Raw genomic sequence first — 19,099 nt, forward strand, 5'->3', positions numbered from 1 at the left:
AATCATCACTAAAGCATAAAGAGGCAAACGTTACTTATTTATTTTTTTAGAGATGAGGTCTCACTCTATTGCTGAGGCTGGAGTACAGTGGCACGATCATAGCTCACTACAACTCCTAGGCTCAAGTGATCCCCCCAACTCGGCCTCCAAGTAGCTGGAACTACAGGTGTGCATCAGCACAGGCAAAAGTTATTATCCTCATTTTTTAAAAAGATGGAGTTTCCCTCTGTTGCCCAGGCTGGAGTGCAGTGACGTGATCTCGGCTCACTGCAACCTCTGCCTCCCAGGTTCAAGCGATACTCCTGTCTCAGCCTCCTGAGTAGCCGGGATTACAGGTGCACACCACCACGCCCAGCTAACTTTTGTATTTTTAGTAGAGACGGGGTTTTACCATGTTGGCCAGGCTGGTCTTGAACTTCTGAGCTCAGGTAATCCACTCGCCTTGGCCTCCCAATGCTGGGATTACAGGTGTGAGCCACCGCACCCAGCCATTATCCTCATTTTCAAAGGAAACACCAGAGGGTCCTAGAGGTCAGATCACAGAACTTAAAAAAGGTAGGGTTTGCAGGTGGATGCCAGGGACTATGCAGAGGGCCTCTTTTTCTTCTACCTGAGAAGAGAATTATTCTCCTGGAGTCCCAGCCTCAGAGAAATGCTGGGGAGAAGCCACATTGCTTGCCTCGGCATTTATGACCCTGAGCACATTATTCACATTCTTACTTCTTTCCAAGAGCCTAAATCCACTAAAGTGAATACAGTTTAAGAAGAGAGTAATTTCTCCTGAAGTGAGTTAATACTGAGAGTGGTGGGAGAGTCCGTGGGTTCTGGGTGCCAGAAAGAACTGAGCCCCACTCTATGGCAGCGCTGCAAGGATGTGGTGAGACCACAGAAGGAATCATCACGGGATGCTGCAGGGAAGTGAGATGCAGGGCCTGGTGCCTCTAACTTCCCTGAAGCAAGCATGCCACAAAAGCAGCAGTGAGCAGAACTGAGAAGATATGCAGGCTGGGTGGACCAATAGGGAGGAGATGGAACTCCAGATGATTACGGCTGAATTTCCTTCCAGCCGAAAGGGATGGAGGCTCAGAATAGAAGTTAAATTTTTGGGAAGTGGCTGGGCATGGTGGCTTACTCTTGTAATCCGAACACTTTGGGAGGGAGAGGTGGGATGATTGCTTGAGGCCAGAAGTTCAAGACCAGCCTGGGCAACAAAGTGAGACCCTATCTTTATTTTTAAAAATGAAAATAAAATTTGGCCAGGTTTGGTGGCTAATGCCTATAATCCCAGCACTTTGGGAGGCCAAGGAGGGAGGATTGCTTGAGCCCAGGGGTTTGACACCAGCCTGAGCAACATAATGAGACTTTGTCTCTATTTAAAAGTGTAGATATCAGCCAGACATGGTGGCATGAAGCCCAGCCGCGGCAGCACCTCTGCTCTGCGGGATCCGCTATGTCCATAGGATATTTGCCTCCCAGAATGAAAGGGAGCTCAAAGTGACCCAAATTCTCAAAGAAAAGTTTCCTTGAGCTACAGTGATCAAAGTCACTGACATTTCAGGAGGTTGAAATTAAATAGAAATTTAATTGAATTAATTAATTTAAATTGAATTTAAAATGAAATTAAAATTGAATCAGAAGAATTTAAGCAGAAGAGAACTGTTCAGCAGTACCACATGGTTAATCAGGCACTAAAAGAAGAAATCAAAGGGATGCATGGATTACAGATATTTACCTCTGTCCCCAAACGCTGACCATGCCCTTGCTGCATGGATGCTGCTGCTTTAAACCTTGGATGAACTTCACTGACACCATTCTTCCCTAGACATTCACCAAAAAATGTGTATATTTTGTTCATATACATTTCCATGTTATAATTATGGAAGATGTGTAATCCACTTGCATGTTAATTAAAGGAAACAAACAACTGAAGTTTTGAAGGGTCAAAAAAATAAAAAAATAAAAAAATGTAAAAAAAATGAAAATAAAACTATAAAAAAATAATGTTAGGGAAGAAAATGCAATATATTTGGCACAGCTGGACTGAGATTCACACATACTACATACACAGGAGAGATACTTAACATGGTACTTTCTACATAGTAGGTGTGCTGTATTATCATTAATATTAGTCTTACTATTGTTACTATTAGTATATTTTAAGCATAGTATGTTTTGCCTCATTTTTCAAGAAAGTATATAAACTTCATGGATTGTAGACCCTTTTTTAGCCTTCAAAGACCACAAAAAAAAATTGTACCACTAGACAGTTAATATAGAGCAATAGACTTTAAATAAACTGAAACAAAAGCCTGGAGATGTTATCACTGGCTAGTACAGGCAACCTGCTCACTTTTCTCCAGCAGGTAGTCCACTTTCCAAATAAATCAGGGTTCTCAGAAGCCTCTTTTGCTCTCAGCTGACTTTTTTTTTTTTTTTTTTGAAACAGAGTCTTGCTCTGTTGCCCAGGCTGGAATGCAGTGGTGCGATCTCGGCTCACTGCAACTTCCACCTCTGGGATTCAAGTGATTCTCCTGCCTCAGCCTCCCAAGTACCTGGGACTACAGGCACCCGCAGCTGCCACCACACCCAGCTAATTTTTTGTATTTTTAGTAGAGACAGGATTTCACCATGTTGGCCAAGGTGGTCTTGAACTCCTAACCTCAAGTAATCCGCCTGCCTTGGCCTCCCAAAGTGGTGGGATTATAGGCGGGAGCCACCATGCCCTGTCTCAGGTACCTTTCAGTCAATCCTTACACAAGGTATTGTTCGATGGCTCCTTAAAGAGCTACCCATATTGTGGGCATCTTCATTGTCATAGACAACTCTGAAAGGCATAACTTCAAAATATTGAAGTAAGACCCTCTACTGGAAAAATGTGGAGAGCCATGCATGGACTCTCTGCTGGAGGTCTTGGGGGCATCATGGCTAGTTTGCAAGGGAGATAGTTCTTGAGGCCAGGCGCAGTGGCTCACACCTGTAATCCCAGCACTTTGGGAGGCCAAGATTGGTGGATTGCCTGTGCTCTGGAGTTCAAGACCAGCCTGGGCAACATGGCGAAACTCCATCTCTACAGAAAATACCAAAAAATTAGCTGGGCATGGTGGCACTCACTTGTAGTCCCAAGTATGCGGGAGGATCACTTGAGCCTGGGAGGTGGAGATTGCAGTGAGCCACTGCACTCCAGCCTGGGTGACAGAGCTGGAACCCATCTCAAAAAAAAAAAAAAAAAAGAAGTAACCACTAACTTAAAAAAAAAAAAGAAAAAAGAAAGAAAAGAATGGAATGGAGATTTTAAAAAAGATTTTTGAGCGAGGACTCTCGCACTGGAAGCCCTGTTATTATCCCAGGTTGCCTACTTTTGCTAGTGTCTTGACCAAAAATAAACCATGCATGTTCTGCTGACGAATCAGATGAGTCCATACAGAGGAAGAAAAGGAGGGTGATTCAGGGAAGGGAAAGAGAAAAGTAAAAGAAACACACACACACACACACACACACACACAGAGAGAGAGAGAGAGAGAGGAACAGAATGAAGTCACTTGAGCATAGCTTTATCAAATCGAAGTGGAATTCTTTTTTGCCCAAAGTGGTCATCTAACATATCTTAGACAAATACAGATGAAAAAGAGAGGTCCTTCCTTAGCACCAGGGCATTTCATGAGCTCAAGTTCCACATCATAGTTTCATTATGAACAACAAACCTCTTGGGATTTTCCAACCCAAGTCAGCTCTGAGAACATCCACACTGTGGAGAGAGCAAGGAACTTCCTTGTTTCTAATACCAAGTCCATCAGATGATTAGTAAGCCCTGCAAAGAAGAGTGAATCATTCTTAGAATTCATTTTGTAAATGCAAAATATCTCATGGTGAGTGACAAATATGTCTAAACAACTGTGTTTTTGGCATAGTTCAAGAAGTTCAAGAAAGTCTTTCATGTCTTTAGCCATGTTCATGTCTGTTTCTGGAAGGACTTTGATCCTGTTTCTCATTAATCAAAGTGTAGTCTGTCTTCCCAGGCCCAGATCTGGTATGGTAACTCCCATGAAGCCTTATCTCATGGCCCACTCCTTCACTTGAAGCCCCATTCAAGTTGCTAGCAGGCTCTGTGCTTCTTGCCTCAGCATTTGTGACCCTAAACAGATATTCACATTCTGACCTTTTTCCCAGAGCCTAAATCCACTGAACTGAATTTAGTGGGTCTGTTTCCTCCCAACTACTAGGCTACTCCATTGGTGCGACTCACATTGGCACCTACCCACATGCCACATCCTTGCCAAATCTGCTCAACTAGGGTGCATGATACAGAAATCACGACTTATGTACTTTCCATGTCTCATTTCTGAAAATAATGAACGTCAACAGAGAATGAAAAATGCCACCTGAAATAAAAATAATTTTTATCACCATCAAATTTTAAGTTTTCTCTAATTATATAAATAATACATATCAGTCATATAATACTTGAATTACAAAAAAAGAAGAAAAAGAGTAAAGAATCAACCTCAGGGGACAGGCATGGTGGCTCATGTCTGTAATTCCAGCACTTTGGGAGGCTGAGGTAGGAGGATCACTTGAGGCCAGGAGTCCAGACCAACCTGGCCAACATAGTGAGACCCTCATCTCTATTTATTTTTTAAAAATTTATAAAAAATAAACGAATCATCTTCAGAAAATATGAGAAATAGAATAAAATATCAATTGCTATTCTCTTTCTGAGATAACCACCATTTGAATCATCATTCTTCCATGCCTCTCCTTATGCATATATGTACATATATTTAATTTTATATAACTGTGTTCATATGATGTCTGCAGCTCTTATTATAGGCCTTCCTTTTTCAATATAGTGGGTCTTTTTGCTGTTATTTATTTGTTCACTTGTTTGTTCATTTGTTTTATACACATCCCGCTTCTCCTTTACTCCCTTAACTGAATAACCCACCCTCACCTGCTCTTGGTTTCTCTTCATTAACAATCTGATATCTGGTCTTCTAGATTTTTTCTCCTTGTTCATATTGTATGTACACACACACATACACACACACACATACATATACACATATGTAAGGGGAAAGGAAGCTTGTCATGATTTATTCTATAAAAATGGAATTACATTACAAAGACTTCTCTGATTCTTGCTCGTCTCACTTTTTGATCACAGCATGGAAAATCCTGCAAATCAACTGGTATAGAATAAATGTCTTCATCCTCATAAAATATCTTTATTATTAATCTCATAGTTTTAATATACCATAAAATTTAAGGCTTTTTGCATTGATGAGCATATACTGTTTCCAGTTTTTTACCTCCACAATAGAAAGGAAATCTTAAGTCCACTCTACTGTAGCAATTTTCTTATCTCACTTTTGAAGATTTGCCAAGGTAATTTTCTGTTTCTTCTCTGTCCCACTGTCAAGTGACTTGACTGGAGCCATGGTTCAAAATCTTTTGGAGATCATGAGTCCCTTTGAAAATTTCATGAAAGTGATCAAACCTCTCCCCAAAAATGTACTGACATTTTTAAGAACTGCATGTAATTTTAGTGGCCTTGAACCTAGGTGACAACTTCCTGAATTTGAGAAAAATTTTGCACAACAAAGAAGATTCTTTTATGGTTGTAATCATCCCCCAAATTTCCAAAACTCTTCCTCCTGATGATGACCCATAACAGATTATGGACTCAGCATGGTAAAGGCAGGCAGCTGAGAAGGTGAAACCAGGCCACACTTGTCCACACCCTTCTCTGTAGAAAGGACAAGACACTTCACAGGCCACTGAACACATTCCTTCTTTACCTCCTCACTTGGGTGAGTTTGAGGGCCAATATGGAAGTGATTGTCAACCTACATGTCACGTAATTATCAAGTGCTTATCATTCATATATCACTTGACTTATAAACTTGCCATTTGCCGTTGTTAATGTTGCAGTGGTTCTCTTTTTTTTTTTTTTGAGACAAAGTCTTGCTGTGTTGTCCAGGCTGGAGTGCAGTGGCACACGATCTCAGCACACTGCAACTTCTCCCTCCCGGGTTTAAGTTATTCTCCTGCGTCAGCCTCCCAAGAAGCCAGTATTACAGGTGCGCACCATCATGCCTGGCTAAGTTTTGTATTTTTAGTAGAGAAGGGGTTTCACCATGTTGGCCAGGCTGGTCTCAGACTCCTGACCTCAGGTAATCCACCTGCCTCGGCCTCCCAAAGTGCTGAGATTACAGGCATGAGCCACTGTGCCTGGCCGGCCAGTTCTCATTCTTATAGAGATAATGGGTGTAATCATTCCTTGGATGATGCATGCTGTCTTAACTCCCTACACCCCTTATGCTTGCCTGTGAGCCTATGTTTCAAGGGCAGAAATCAGTCCCAAACTCTAGCCAAGAGCAGTCTTCACCTGTCTGTTCCCACCTTCATAGGGTAGGAAGAGCAGTTATGTCATATGCTCAGACTGAGGGGCGAGAGACCAGAAACCTTTTTAAGTGCCACACCTGTTTCTGTAGTAATAATAAAGAAATGGGCTGGAGATGCTGAGGTTAGGGACTCAAACTCCGTATATCACTGCTCCTACATCTGTGTCTCATTTGTCACTGTCCCCTGAAAGTCAGAGGGAAGCCCAAGACCATAAGACATCAGGACCAGACAAGATCAGATGTTCTGCTGAACCAAGGCTGGAACCTTGTCACCCAACCACACATATGCTATCACATTTGGAGCAAGTAGCTTTTTGTTTAATATGTAGTTTTAAACAATAAATATCCTCTTATTTAAGTGACAGGTGGATGGAATTGTTACTTTACATTTAAGAAACCTCACAAAGAACAACTGGGCGCTGGTGGCTCACACCTGAAATCCCAGCACTTTGAGAGACTGAGGCAGGGGGATTGCTTGAGCCTGGGAGACCAATCTGGGCAACATAGAAAGATCTTATCTCTACGAAATATACCAAAATTCTTTGGGAGGCTGAGGTGGGCAGATCACTTGAGGTTGAGAGTTCGAGAACAGCCTGGCCAACATGGTGAAACCCCATCTCTACTAAAAATACAAAAATTGGCTGGGCATGGTCGTGGGTGCCTGTATTCCCAGCTACTCAGGAGGCTGAGGCAGGAGAGTCATTTGAACCCGAGAGGCGGAGGTTGCAATGAGCCAGGATTGTGCCACAGCACTCCAGCCTGAGCAACAGAGCAAGACTCTGTCTTAAAAAAAAAAAAAAAAAAAAAAATTAGCCAGTCATGGTGGTGTGCACCTGAGGTCCCAGCTACTAAGGAGACTAAGGTGGGAGGATAACTTGAGCCCAGGAGGTTGAGGCTTCAGTGAGCCGTGATTGAAACACTGCACTGCAGCCTGGGGGACAGAATAAGACCCTGTGTCAAAAAGAAGAAAAGAAAACAAAAGAAAAGGAAAAGAAAAGAAAAATAGAAATCTGCAAAGAACAAAATACAACCCACATGTGTCTAAGGTGGCATGGTATGCATGGAAACCAGAACCTCCTACCCCAAGGAGATGGGATGTTAATGGGGCAACACTGAATCAATGATGTGTGATGTGGAGGGAATCCTTACGGTGACCATGCTAGCACCACACAGTGCCACCTCAGGCACCCAAGGGCAGAGGTGAATGAACAGGTGGGTTCCTGAGCCGCAGAGGGAGTAACCCAGGGGAAGTTTTAGAGCATAGAGATTCTCTTGCTAGGTGAGCATTGATAGACCAGGTTACCTTCGGTGGCACCAAACTAGGGAGAATAGAAAACTCAGAATAGAAACTTTGTTAAGAAAAGCAAGTTAACACCACATGCTGCTGACAGCAGAATATGTCCATTTCCCCAAATCCTGTGTCAGAAGATGGCACACATGAAAATAGCCATTGATTGGATTTTAATGAGTCAACCAAACATTCCTGTAAGACTGGTACCAAAAAGTAAACCCAAATTCCCTGCTATAATCATCCCTGGGAAAACCCACTGTTTTGATATTTCATATTGCCGTCTGTTTGACTTACCCCTCTATGTTTCTGTGGGGAAAATCTGCACAGTGAGCAAATCCTGTAATTTCAGCTGCCCATCGTTGTATTATCATTGGCACCTCAGCAGCAGTGTTTGGCTGCGTTTCAATTATGACAGGGATACTTTCGCATTTTCCCTATTACTCAGGAGTCCCAGGGCCTGGCTGGCACTGGCTCCTCCTGAAGGCACAGATGTTCTGTCTTCTGCTCTTCAGCCTTTGGTGCATCGGGTCCAGCAGTATATCCCTTTGACTTTATTAGGAACTCAGACCTAGAAAGCTAGTGAAAGGCCAGGCGCAGTGGCTCATACCTGTAGTTCTAGCACTTTGGGAGGCCGAGGTGGGCAGATTGTTGGAGCCCAAGAGTTCGAGACCAGCCTGGGCAATGGGCAAAACCCCATCTCTACAAAAAATACAAAAATTAGCCAGGTGTGGTGGTTCATGCCTGTAGTCCCAGCTACTCGGAAGCTGAGCCCAGGAGGTCAAGGCTGAGGCTGCCATGAGCTGTGATCATGCCACTGCACCCCAGCCTGGACAACAGAGTGAGACCTAGTCTCAAAAAAAAAAAATCTGGTGAAGTGTAAAATAAGGAAATTGGAGAAAATGAGGACCTCACATGAATGAGGGCATTTTGTATGGCAAGAAGTAGGCCAGACACTTTATACACATTATTTCTTCAAGCTCATAATGACCCTGAGGTGTTGGTATTAGGGAACACAAAGTTCAAAGCACCCTAATAACTGCCTGTGGCCAACCAGCTAGTTAAGGAACTGGAATGCTTTTAGGTAAAATTTTTATTGATGTATTTTTTATATATATATATATATATATATATATATATATATATATATATATATATATATACAAACATAGAAAAATGTACAAATAGGCCAGGCATGGTGGCCTATGCCTATAATCCCAGCACTTTGGGAGGCCAAGATGGGCGGATCATGAGGTCAGGAGTTCGAGACCAGCCTGACCAACATGATGAAACTCCATCTCTACTAAAAATACAAAAATTAACCAGGCGTGGTGGCTCACGCCTGTAATCCCAGCTACTCAGGAGGCTGAGGCAGGAGAATCGCTTGAACCGGGAGGCGGAGGTTGCAGTGAGCCAAGATTGTGCCACTGCACTCCAGCCTGGGCAACAGAGCGAAACTCCATCTCAAAAAAAAAAAAAGAAAAGAAAAGAAAAATGTACAAATAATAAATGCTGATCTCAATGAATTTTCACAAAATGAATATGGCCATAAAATAATAATCAGGCCATTTTGTTTATTTAGTGTTTAGTTTTTCTTTTTCTTTTTGAAACAAGGTATTAGTCGTTCTCACACTGCTAATAAAGACGTACCTGAGACTAGGTAATTTCTAAAGGAAAGAGGTCTAATTGATTCACAGTTCCACATGGCTGGGGAGGCCTCACAATTACGGCAGAAGGCAAAGGAGGAGCAAAGTCACGTCTTGCACAGAGGCAGGCAAGGAGAGCTTGTGCAGTGCACCTCTCATTTATAAAACCATCAGATCTCATGAGACATTCACTACCTCAAGTATGGTGTCAGAAAACTGCACCTTTGATTCAATTACCTCCCACTGGGTCCCTCCCACAACATGGGGATTATGGGAGCTACAATTCAAAGTGAGATTTGGGTGGGAACACAGCCAAACTATATCACAAGGTCTCACTCAGTTGCCCAGGCTGGAGTGCAGTGGCATGGTCATGGCTCACTGCAGCCTCTACCTCCCAGGCTCAAGTGATCCTCCCACCTCAGCCTCTCAAGTAGCTGGGACTACTGGTGTGTGCCATCACACCTGGCTGATTTTTTAAATTTCTGTAGACATAGGATCTCACTGTGTTGCCCAGGATGGTCTCAAATTCCTGGGCTCGAGCAATCCTCTCACCTTGTTCTCCCAAAGTGCTGGGATTATGGGGGTGAGCCACTGTGCCTGGCCTTATTTAGTGTTTTTCTTCAGGAGTTTCTAAAATTTTTTGTGGCTTTTCCAACTATTGACTGTTAACAAAATTTTTTATTAGGGGATTTCTTTTCAGAGATACACTAATTTCAGTTTTTGTCAAGAAGGAATTCCACCCATATCCACATCTGGCACAGACCTAACAACAGCCATTGCATAATTAGGGGTTTCTACTCCCCTCTCTCCCGCAACCTGTCTTCTCTCTTTGCTGGACAGAAAGATCCCATCTCGTTACGGTGTGGCAGCTCTGAATATGCTTTACCCATTTCAGTCTACACATACGTTCAGGGAATTAAAGGAAGACACGGCCTCTTTCAAAACGCTTTAAAGAACTGTTTAAATTTATCTCCCAGTCTAAATCTGCCTATTTCTCTAACTGGTACCATAATTTTCACCACCATAACTGAAACTCCAGAAGGGTTATGGGTTGTGCTGTTTTGTTCATTGACGTATCCCAGTACCTAGACCAGTGCCTAGATGCAGTATGTGCCCAGTAGATATTTGATAGAGAGAGTGAAGAATACTTCCACTCATCCAATCTCCAACTCTTTCATGTACTTAACAAACATTTTGTTAACTTTTAGGGTCACCTGATACTCTTCCTTTACTCTATTCCCCTCCCACCACCACTTTTAATCAATTTTGAAGTCTTGTTATTTCATGTACTACTTATCACACTCATCTTCATTCTTTTTCTAATCCCATCTAGTCCATAAGTTTAACATCTCATACCTTGAGTCTTAAATGTCCTAATTAGTCTTTTAATTCCATTCTCTGTGAGACACACAGTTGTCAGAATTTTTTTCCTATGTTCCATTTTTTACATAGTGTTCCTTTTCTCAAAAATTCTCAAATATTCTCAAAATAAACTGAAAGGGGTTATCTCAGAGCAGAGCAATTACAAGGGATTTTTACTTGCTCCTTTGTATTTTTCTGTATTTTCTGAATTTATAGATTAATTTTTATTTCAAAATTCCAATACATTTTTTTAAAAAATAATATCATTGTTTCAAAGTTAATTCCACAAATATTTCCCGCCTGTGTGTCAGGCATTGTTTTAGGTGCTAGGGATGCAATTCTTGTTTTCAGGGCGCTCACAGTGTAAGAGGGGAGACAGAGAATGAAACAGATAATGACAATCAACTGATAAAGATGTATCCTCTGTTTGCTGCACAAGGGGCTTTACATGAATGACCATGCAGAGTTATGGATCCCAGAAGGGACACAGGTGGGGAACACACCCTTTTCTTTTTTTTTTCTTTTTGGAGACAGGGCTCACTGTGTTGCCTAGGCTGGAGTGCAGTGGTGTGACCATAGCTCATGCAGCCTCAACCTTCTGGGCTCATGTAATCCTCCCACCTCAGCCTCTTGAGTAGCTGGGACCACAGACGAGCCCCACCACACCCGGCTACACCCTTCTTCTGAATCCTAGAATAAATCAAAGAGAATCTTAAATCAGGTGAGAGTGTGAGGGAAGGCAGAGGGTGAGGAAGTTGAAGCCCACAGAAGTGAGAGAGTGTGCAACGCCCAGGAGGATTAGGGTGACACAACTGAAGCGCAGAGGTGTTTGTGTGTGTGTGAGAGAGAGAGAGATATGGGTCAAGGATGTTTCTGGAGTGGGAACTGCAGAGGAATGCAGGAGCCCAGATTCTGCTAAGGAGTTCCAATTCAGTCTTGACAGCACTGGGAACCACTGAAGAATTTAAGTAGAGGCAAGGCATGGTCATATTTGCGTTTAGAAACGTCATTCTGGTCACCTTGCGGAGACTGTGTAAGATACAGTCAGAACCCAATTTATCAAGGTCAAATTTCTTCACTTGTCAAAGTCCTTACCATCTGCCCCCTTCCTCCTTTTCTTGCCTCTTCTCCCACAGTTCCCTGCAACCAACACTGCCAGCCTTCTATTCCTATCCCTCTGACTTTGCTGCTGTAGTTACTTCTTCCTGACAAAGAATTTTTCTTCCTCTGTACCCCTTGATCTCTCCAGATCTTAACCTCCCTCCACCTCTCAGATACTCCCAGCCACAGTCCCATCTCCCAGCCACAGTCCCATCTCCCTGCTTTTCATGCTCCTAGGAATTGTGACTTTGCTTTATATCTGCCTGTGGTCCCAGCTATCACCACACACCTACAAAAAGCAAAACTCAAGATGTGCTGTTTCAAATGATAGTGACTTAAAATTATGATCCAGGCAGGGTTTTAATACCTTAATACCTGCCCTGAGATGGATGTATCCCCAAGTGGTGGATGTGGGTTGGATTGTGTAATTTCCTGTGGGCAAAGCTTCTTTTTCACCTAGATAAACTCTGAAGCTCTCTTCCTGGAGTTCCATTTTATTAGCTTACACAAGTGTACTCCCTGTTTTTAAAAAAATTATAGTTTTACATTTTATTTTTTATAGAAGTGGAGTCTCACTATATTGCCCAGGCTGATCTCAAACTTCTGGGCTCAAGCGATCCTCCAGTCTTAGGCTCCCAAAGGGATTTGGGATTACAGGTGCAAGTTACTATGCCTGGCCTGTACTCCCTTTTAAAGGTTGATTTTTTGATGTAAAAGAAAGCTTTACCATTTATTTTTACTTCAATATGAAACCTTCTCATGTGCTTTTTCTTTTTGGTGTTTGAAAGCAACCTAGCTAGAGAACAATGATAATGTGGGGCTGAGAGGAAACATCAGAAATCTGAGGTTGGAGAGGAAATGTACATGATAGGAATGGAAGCCACCAAGTCAGAAGACAAGCTTCCCAAACTTCTTCATGGTATAGGGCAGTAGTAGAGCTCAGGTTCTAGAGCACTGTTTCTCAAAGTGTGGTCCCAGACCAGCAGCATCAGCCTTTCCTAGGAATTTGTTAGGAATGCAAAATGTTGGTTTCTTTCCCAGACTTCTTGAATCAGAAACTCTAGAGGTGGAGTCCAGCAATGGCAGTTTGGGGACCACTGCTCTAGCATTTAAAGGAAGGATCTACAGAGGATTTGCGCTACAGCCTGCCTTTAGTTTTTTTTCCCTTTTTCCCTCTTTCCCTGCTCCTAGGCAACAAAGATAAAAATATAGTAAAAACTAGGTGCTTCTCTGAATGGCTGGATTTGAAGAAGTTCTATTTTAAAACTGCATTTAAAAAAAAGGGCCAGGTGGTTCACACCTGTAATCCTAACACTTTGGGAGGCCGAGGCTGGTGGATCACTTGAGCCCAGGAGTTTGAGACCACCCTTAACAACATAGTGAAACCCCATCTCTACAAAAAGCTGAGTGTGGTGGCATGTTCCTGTAGTCCCAGCTACTCAGGAGGCTGAGGTGGGGGAATCACTTGAGCCCAGGAGGTGGAGGTTGTAGTGAGCTGAGATTATGCCACTGCACTCCAGCCTGGGTAATAGAGTGAGACACCACCTCAAAAAAAAAAAAAAAAAAAAAAAACACCAACAAAAAAAACTCATTGATTACCTGCAGGGCACCAGCCACTGTCTGAGGCACAGTAAACAGAAAGAGAGTAACTATCCCTGCACTAGAGGAGGCCTGCTCAAGGCAGTATGTGTGTGTGTGTGTTTGTATCCGTGTTGGGATGGGGATGAAGTGGAAAGTGGGAAAGGCTTTTTGGAAATGATGAATCCCAAATTGCGTTTTGAAAAGTCGATTGGAGCACGAGGTCAAAGGTAGGAAGATGCACTTTAGCCAAAGGACCAGTTGTAGAAATGCTCAGTAATTCCCTTGTGAATATTTTGATCCAGAAAGATATACTAGAGCATTGCAGAAACGCAGCTGCCCAGGAGTTTGGTTTTTACTGCCTGACTTCACTTTGATTTCATGGCTTGGATGAAAAAGAGACATCTACTTCCTAGTTTCTCTCTATCTTAAAGTTCAATATTGAATCCAACTCTATTTTCTGGCTGTCTTTCAAGGATTTTCCTGAGTCTTCTGTTCCCACTGTTTCTGCCTAGATCTTCCACATACTAGAAGCACCAATCTCCTCCAACCATCTACAGCTCCCTGTGACCAAGATCATCGTGGGCAAAACTGATTCTTCTAATCAACATTTATCACACTTGCTTTTCACCAATGAACTTGGTCTTTAGAGCATTTACAAACAAGTATGAGGTGCCTTCCCTCAGAAAACTCACAACCCAATTAAAGACACAAGACCTAGATATAAAAAATAACAATTTAGACTGCAAATGACTTAGTAAAGAATTATATGAACTGTAAACCCCATAGAAGGACATGGCTTGACAAGTTATGGGCCACAGACCAAATCCAGCCTGCAAGCTAAAAATGGCCCTTCCTTCCACTTTTATTTTATTTTATTGTTGTTGGTTTTTTTTTTTTTAAGACAAGGTCTCACCATATTGCCTAAGCTGGTCTCAAACTATTGGGCTCAAGTGATCTTCATGCCTCAGTTTCTTGAGTACTGGGATGACAGCACATGTCACTGACCCAGGTTCCATTTTTAAATGGTTGAAAAATGAAATAAAAGTAATACACAGAGACACATGAAAACTATATGAAATTCAAATATCAGTATCTACAAATAAAATTTTATTGAAACACAGTCATATGCATTCAATTATATATCATCTATGGCTGCTTTCTTTCTCCAAAGGCAGAGTTGATTTTTTTTCTTTTTTTGAGACAGAGTCTCACTGTGTGATATGGTTTAGCTGTGTCCCCACCCAAATCTCATCTTGAATTGTAACTCTAACAATTCCTATGTGTCATGGGAGGAACCCGGTGGGAGGTGATTGAATTATGGGGGTGAGTCTTTCCTGCACTGGTCTCCTGATAGTGAATGTGTCTCACAAGATCTGATGGTTTTAAAAAGGGGAGTTTCCCTGCACAAGTTCTTCTTCTTTTGTCTGCTGCCATATGAGACGTGCCTTTCACCTTCCACCATATTTATGAGGTCTCCCCAGCCAAGTGGAACTATAAGTCCACGTCTTTATCAGCAGTGGGAAAATTGACTAATATACTCTGTTGCCTCAGCTGGAGTGCAGTGGCATGATCTTGGTCACTGCAGCCTCCACCTCCAAGTTCAAGAGATTCTCCTGCCTCAGCCTCCTGAGTAGCTGGGACTACAGGTGCACGCCACCACACCTGGCTAATCTGTGTATTTTTTTTTAGTAGAGTGGGGGTTTCACTATGTTGGCGAGGCTGGTCTTGAACTCCTGATCTCAAGTGATCCTCTCGCCTCGGCCTCCCAAAGCACTGGGATTACAGGTGTGAGCCATCACACCCAGCCCCCAGTGGCAGAGTTGAGTAGTTGCAACAAAGACCATATAGCCTATTTTCCAAACTGTGATGCTCTGCTTCCCTTTTAAACATAAGTTCCAATTACAAATCTATCTTTGTAAATACATAAAACTGAATGCTTTTAACAGCACCCATCCCCTCTTGAATGCTTGCCTGCTTAGAAATTTCTTCTACCAGATGCCCTAAATCATCTCCTTCAAGTTCAAAGTTCCACAAATCTCCAGAGCTGGGACAAAATGTTCCCATTCTCTTGGCTAAAACATAGCAAGAGTCACCTTTATTCCAGTTCCCACATGTTCCTCACCTCCGTCTGAGACCACCTCAACCTGGACTTCATTATCCATATCACTATCAGCATTTTGGTCAAAGCCATTGAACAAGTCTCTGGAAAATTCCAAACTTTCCCACATCTTTCTGTCCTCTTCTGAGCCCTCCAAACTATTCCAATCTCTGCCTGTTACCCAATTCCAAAGTTGCTTCCAGATTTTCAGGTATCTTTACAGCAGCACCTTACTCTACCAGTACCAATTTACTATATTAGTCTGTTCTCATTCTGCTAATAAAGACATACCTGAGCCAGGTGCGATGGCTCATGCCCATAATCCCAGCACTTTGGGAGGCTGAGGCATGTGGATCACTTGAGGTCAGGAGTTTGAGACCAGCCTGGCCAACATGGTGAAACCCTGTCTCTACTAAAAATACAGAAAAATTAGCTGGGCATGGTGGTAAGCGCTTTAATCACAGCTACTTGGGTGGTGAGGCAGGAGAATCACTTGAGCCCAGGAGGTGGAGGGTGCAGTGAGCCAAGATTGTGCCACTGCACTCCAGCCTGGGTGACAGAGCAAGACTCAATCTCAATAATAATAATAATAATAATAATAATAATAATAATAATAATAACACATACCAGAGACTGGGTAATTTATAAACAAAAGAGGTTTAATTGACTCACAGTTCCACATGGCTGGGGAGTCCTCACAATCATGGTGGAAGGCAAATGAGGAGCAAAGTCACATCTTACATGGTGGCAGGTAAGAGAGTTTGTGCAAAGGAACTCCCATTTATAAAATCATCAGATCTTGTGAGATTTATTCACTGCTACAAGAACAGTATGTGGGAAACCGCCCCAAAGATTCAATTTTCTCCAGCTGGCCCCACCCTTGACATGTGGGGATTATTACAATTCCGTGTGAGATTTGGGTGGGGACACAGCTAAGCCATATCAGTATTCCATAATGTATATATATCACATTTTCTTTATCCAGTCTACTATTGATGGGCATTTAGGTTGATTCCATGTCTTTGCTAGAGATCTACTTTCTAAGGTCCCATATGTGAGTGAGAACATGCAATACTTCAGTTAATGTAATGACCTCCAGTTCCATCCATTTTTCTGCAAATGGCAGGATTTCATTCTTTTTTTTTTTTTAACATAATCAAACATGGTCAAAGGATTTAATTTTTTGGGCTGAATAATATTCCATTCTGTATACATACCATATTTTCTTTATCTATTCATCTATTGATGGACACTTAAGTAGATTCCACATTGTCACTATTGTGAATAGTGCCACAGTAAACATGGGTGATACGGTTTGGCTCTGTGTCCCTACCCAAATCTCATCATGTAGCTCCCATAATTCCCATGTGTTGTGTGAGGGATCTGGTGGGAGATGACTGAATTACGGGGGTGGGTCTTTCCCATGCTGTTCTCATGATAGTGAATGGGTCTCATGAGATCTGATGGTTTTAAAAAATGGGAGTTGCACTACATAAGCTCTCTCTTTGCCTGCTGCCATCCACGTAAGATGTGATTTGCTCCTCCTTGCCTTCAGCCATGATTGTGAGGCCTACCCAGCCATCTGGAACTGTAAGTCCAATGAACCTCTTTCTTTTGTAAATTGCCCAGTCTTGGGTATGTCTTTATCAGCAGTGTAAAAATGGACTAATAGAATGAGAGTGTAGATGTCTTTTTGATATGTTGATTTTCTTTCTTTTGAATATAGACCCAGTGGTGGAATTGCTGCATCATATGCTACCTCTGTTTTTAGTTTTTTGAGGAATCTCTATACTGTTCTTCCTAGTGTCTGTACTCTATACTGTTCTTCCTAGCAGTGTACAAGAGTTTCCCTCTTCCCACATCCTCTCCAGCATTCGTTATTGCCTGTGTTTTTGATAAGAGTTATTTTAACTGGGATGAGGTGATATCTCATTGTAGTTTGATTTGCATTTCTCTGATGATTGAGCATTTTTTTAATGTAACTGTTGGTCATTTGTATATCTTCTTTTGAGAAATGTCTATTTGGATCTTTTGCCCATTTTTAAATTGAATTGTTTGTGTTTTTTTGCAATTGAGTTGTTTGAGCTCCTTACGTATTTTAGCATTATTCTCTTGTCAAATGGGTAGTTAGCAAATATTTTTGCCAATCCTTTACAGATACAGTTTTCTGACTCCTGCTATAGGACAGGGGTTTCCAAATTATTTTACAAGAAAAGCAATATATATATTAAAAAAATGGGCTGGGCATGGTGGCTCACGCCTGTAATCCCAGCACTTTGGGAGGACGAGGTTGGTGGATCTTGAGGTCAGGAGATCGAGACCATCCTGGCTAACACGGTGAAACCCCATCTCTACTAAAAATACAAAAAAAATTAGCTGGGTGTGGTTGCGCGTGCCTGTAGTCCCAGGTACTCGGGAGGCTGAGGCAGGAGAATGGCATGAACCTGGAAGGTGGAGCTTGCAGTGAGCCGAGACCGCACCACTGCACTCCAGCCTGGGCGACAGAGTGAGACTCCACCTAAAAAAAAAAAAAAAAAGAGTTTAAGACCAGCCTGGCCAACATGGTGAAACCTTGTCTCTACTAAAAATACAAAAATTAGCCAGGCGTGGTGGCAGGCATCTATAATCCCAGCTACTCAGGAGGCTGAGGCAGGAGAATTGCTTGAACCTGGGTGGTGGAGGTTGCAGTGAGCCCAGATCGTGCCATTGCACTCCAGCCTGGGTGACAAGAGCAAAACTCCATCTCAAAAAGCAAAACAAAACCAAAAAACAAACAAACAAAAAGAAACCTAGGTCCCATTTGGTCAACCATCACTACCTCTTTTCCCTCACTTTTCATGTTTCTTCCTTCCCTAACTTCCCTGACACCTTCAAGAAACCCTAGGATGCCTAGTTGAAAAAACTACTATAGGAGTTCAGTGCAGGAAGAGATCATCTGGAGGAGTTAAGCAAGTTTTCTTTGGGAAAATGAGTATTGACAAAAATTACCACTAAAGAACTTATCCATGTAACCAAACACCACCTGTTCCCCAAAAACCTTCCGAAATTAAAAAAATATATATGCATTGGGAAAAAAATGAGCATTGTTATAGTTTGGCTATGTCCCCACCCAAATCTAATCTTGAATTGTAGCTCCCATAATTCCCATGTGTTGTGGGAAGGACCCGGTGGGAGATAATTGAATCATGGGGGCAGTTTCCCCCATACTGTTCTCATGGCAGTAAGTCTCATGAGATCTGATGGTTTGATAAGGGGTTTCCCCTTTTGCTTGGCTCTCATTCTCTCTTGTCTGCTGCCATGTAAGATGTACCTTTCACCTTCCACCATGATTGTGAGGCCTCCCCAGCCATGTGGAACTGTGGGTCCATTAAACCTCTTTTTCTTTATAAACTACCCAGTTTCAGGTGTGTCTTTATCAACAGTGTGAAAATGGACTAATACAAGCATTGAGCTGGGCTTTGAAGATTGGGTAAAATTTTCAAAAGAGAGTGCCAAAATACATTTTCTTTTTTTAATTTTTAATTTTTTTTTTTTTGAGACAAGATCTGGCTCTGTCGTTCAGGCTAGACTGCAGTGGCACAATCTTGGCTCATTGCAACCTCTGTCTCCCGTACTCAAACCA

The 19,099-nt window shown here is 42.3% G+C and overlaps 1 pseudogene; it reads left to right on the forward strand.

Moving 5' to 3' along the window:
- BOLA3P1 (bolA family member 3 pseudogene 1) lies at nt 1,389–1,943 on the forward strand (annotated as a pseudogene).

Source organism: Homo sapiens, chromosome 11 (assembly GCF_000001405.40).
Source record: "Homo sapiens chromosome 11, GRCh38.p14 Primary Assembly".
NCBI lineage: Eukaryota > Metazoa > Chordata > Mammalia > Primates > Hominidae > Homo > Homo sapiens.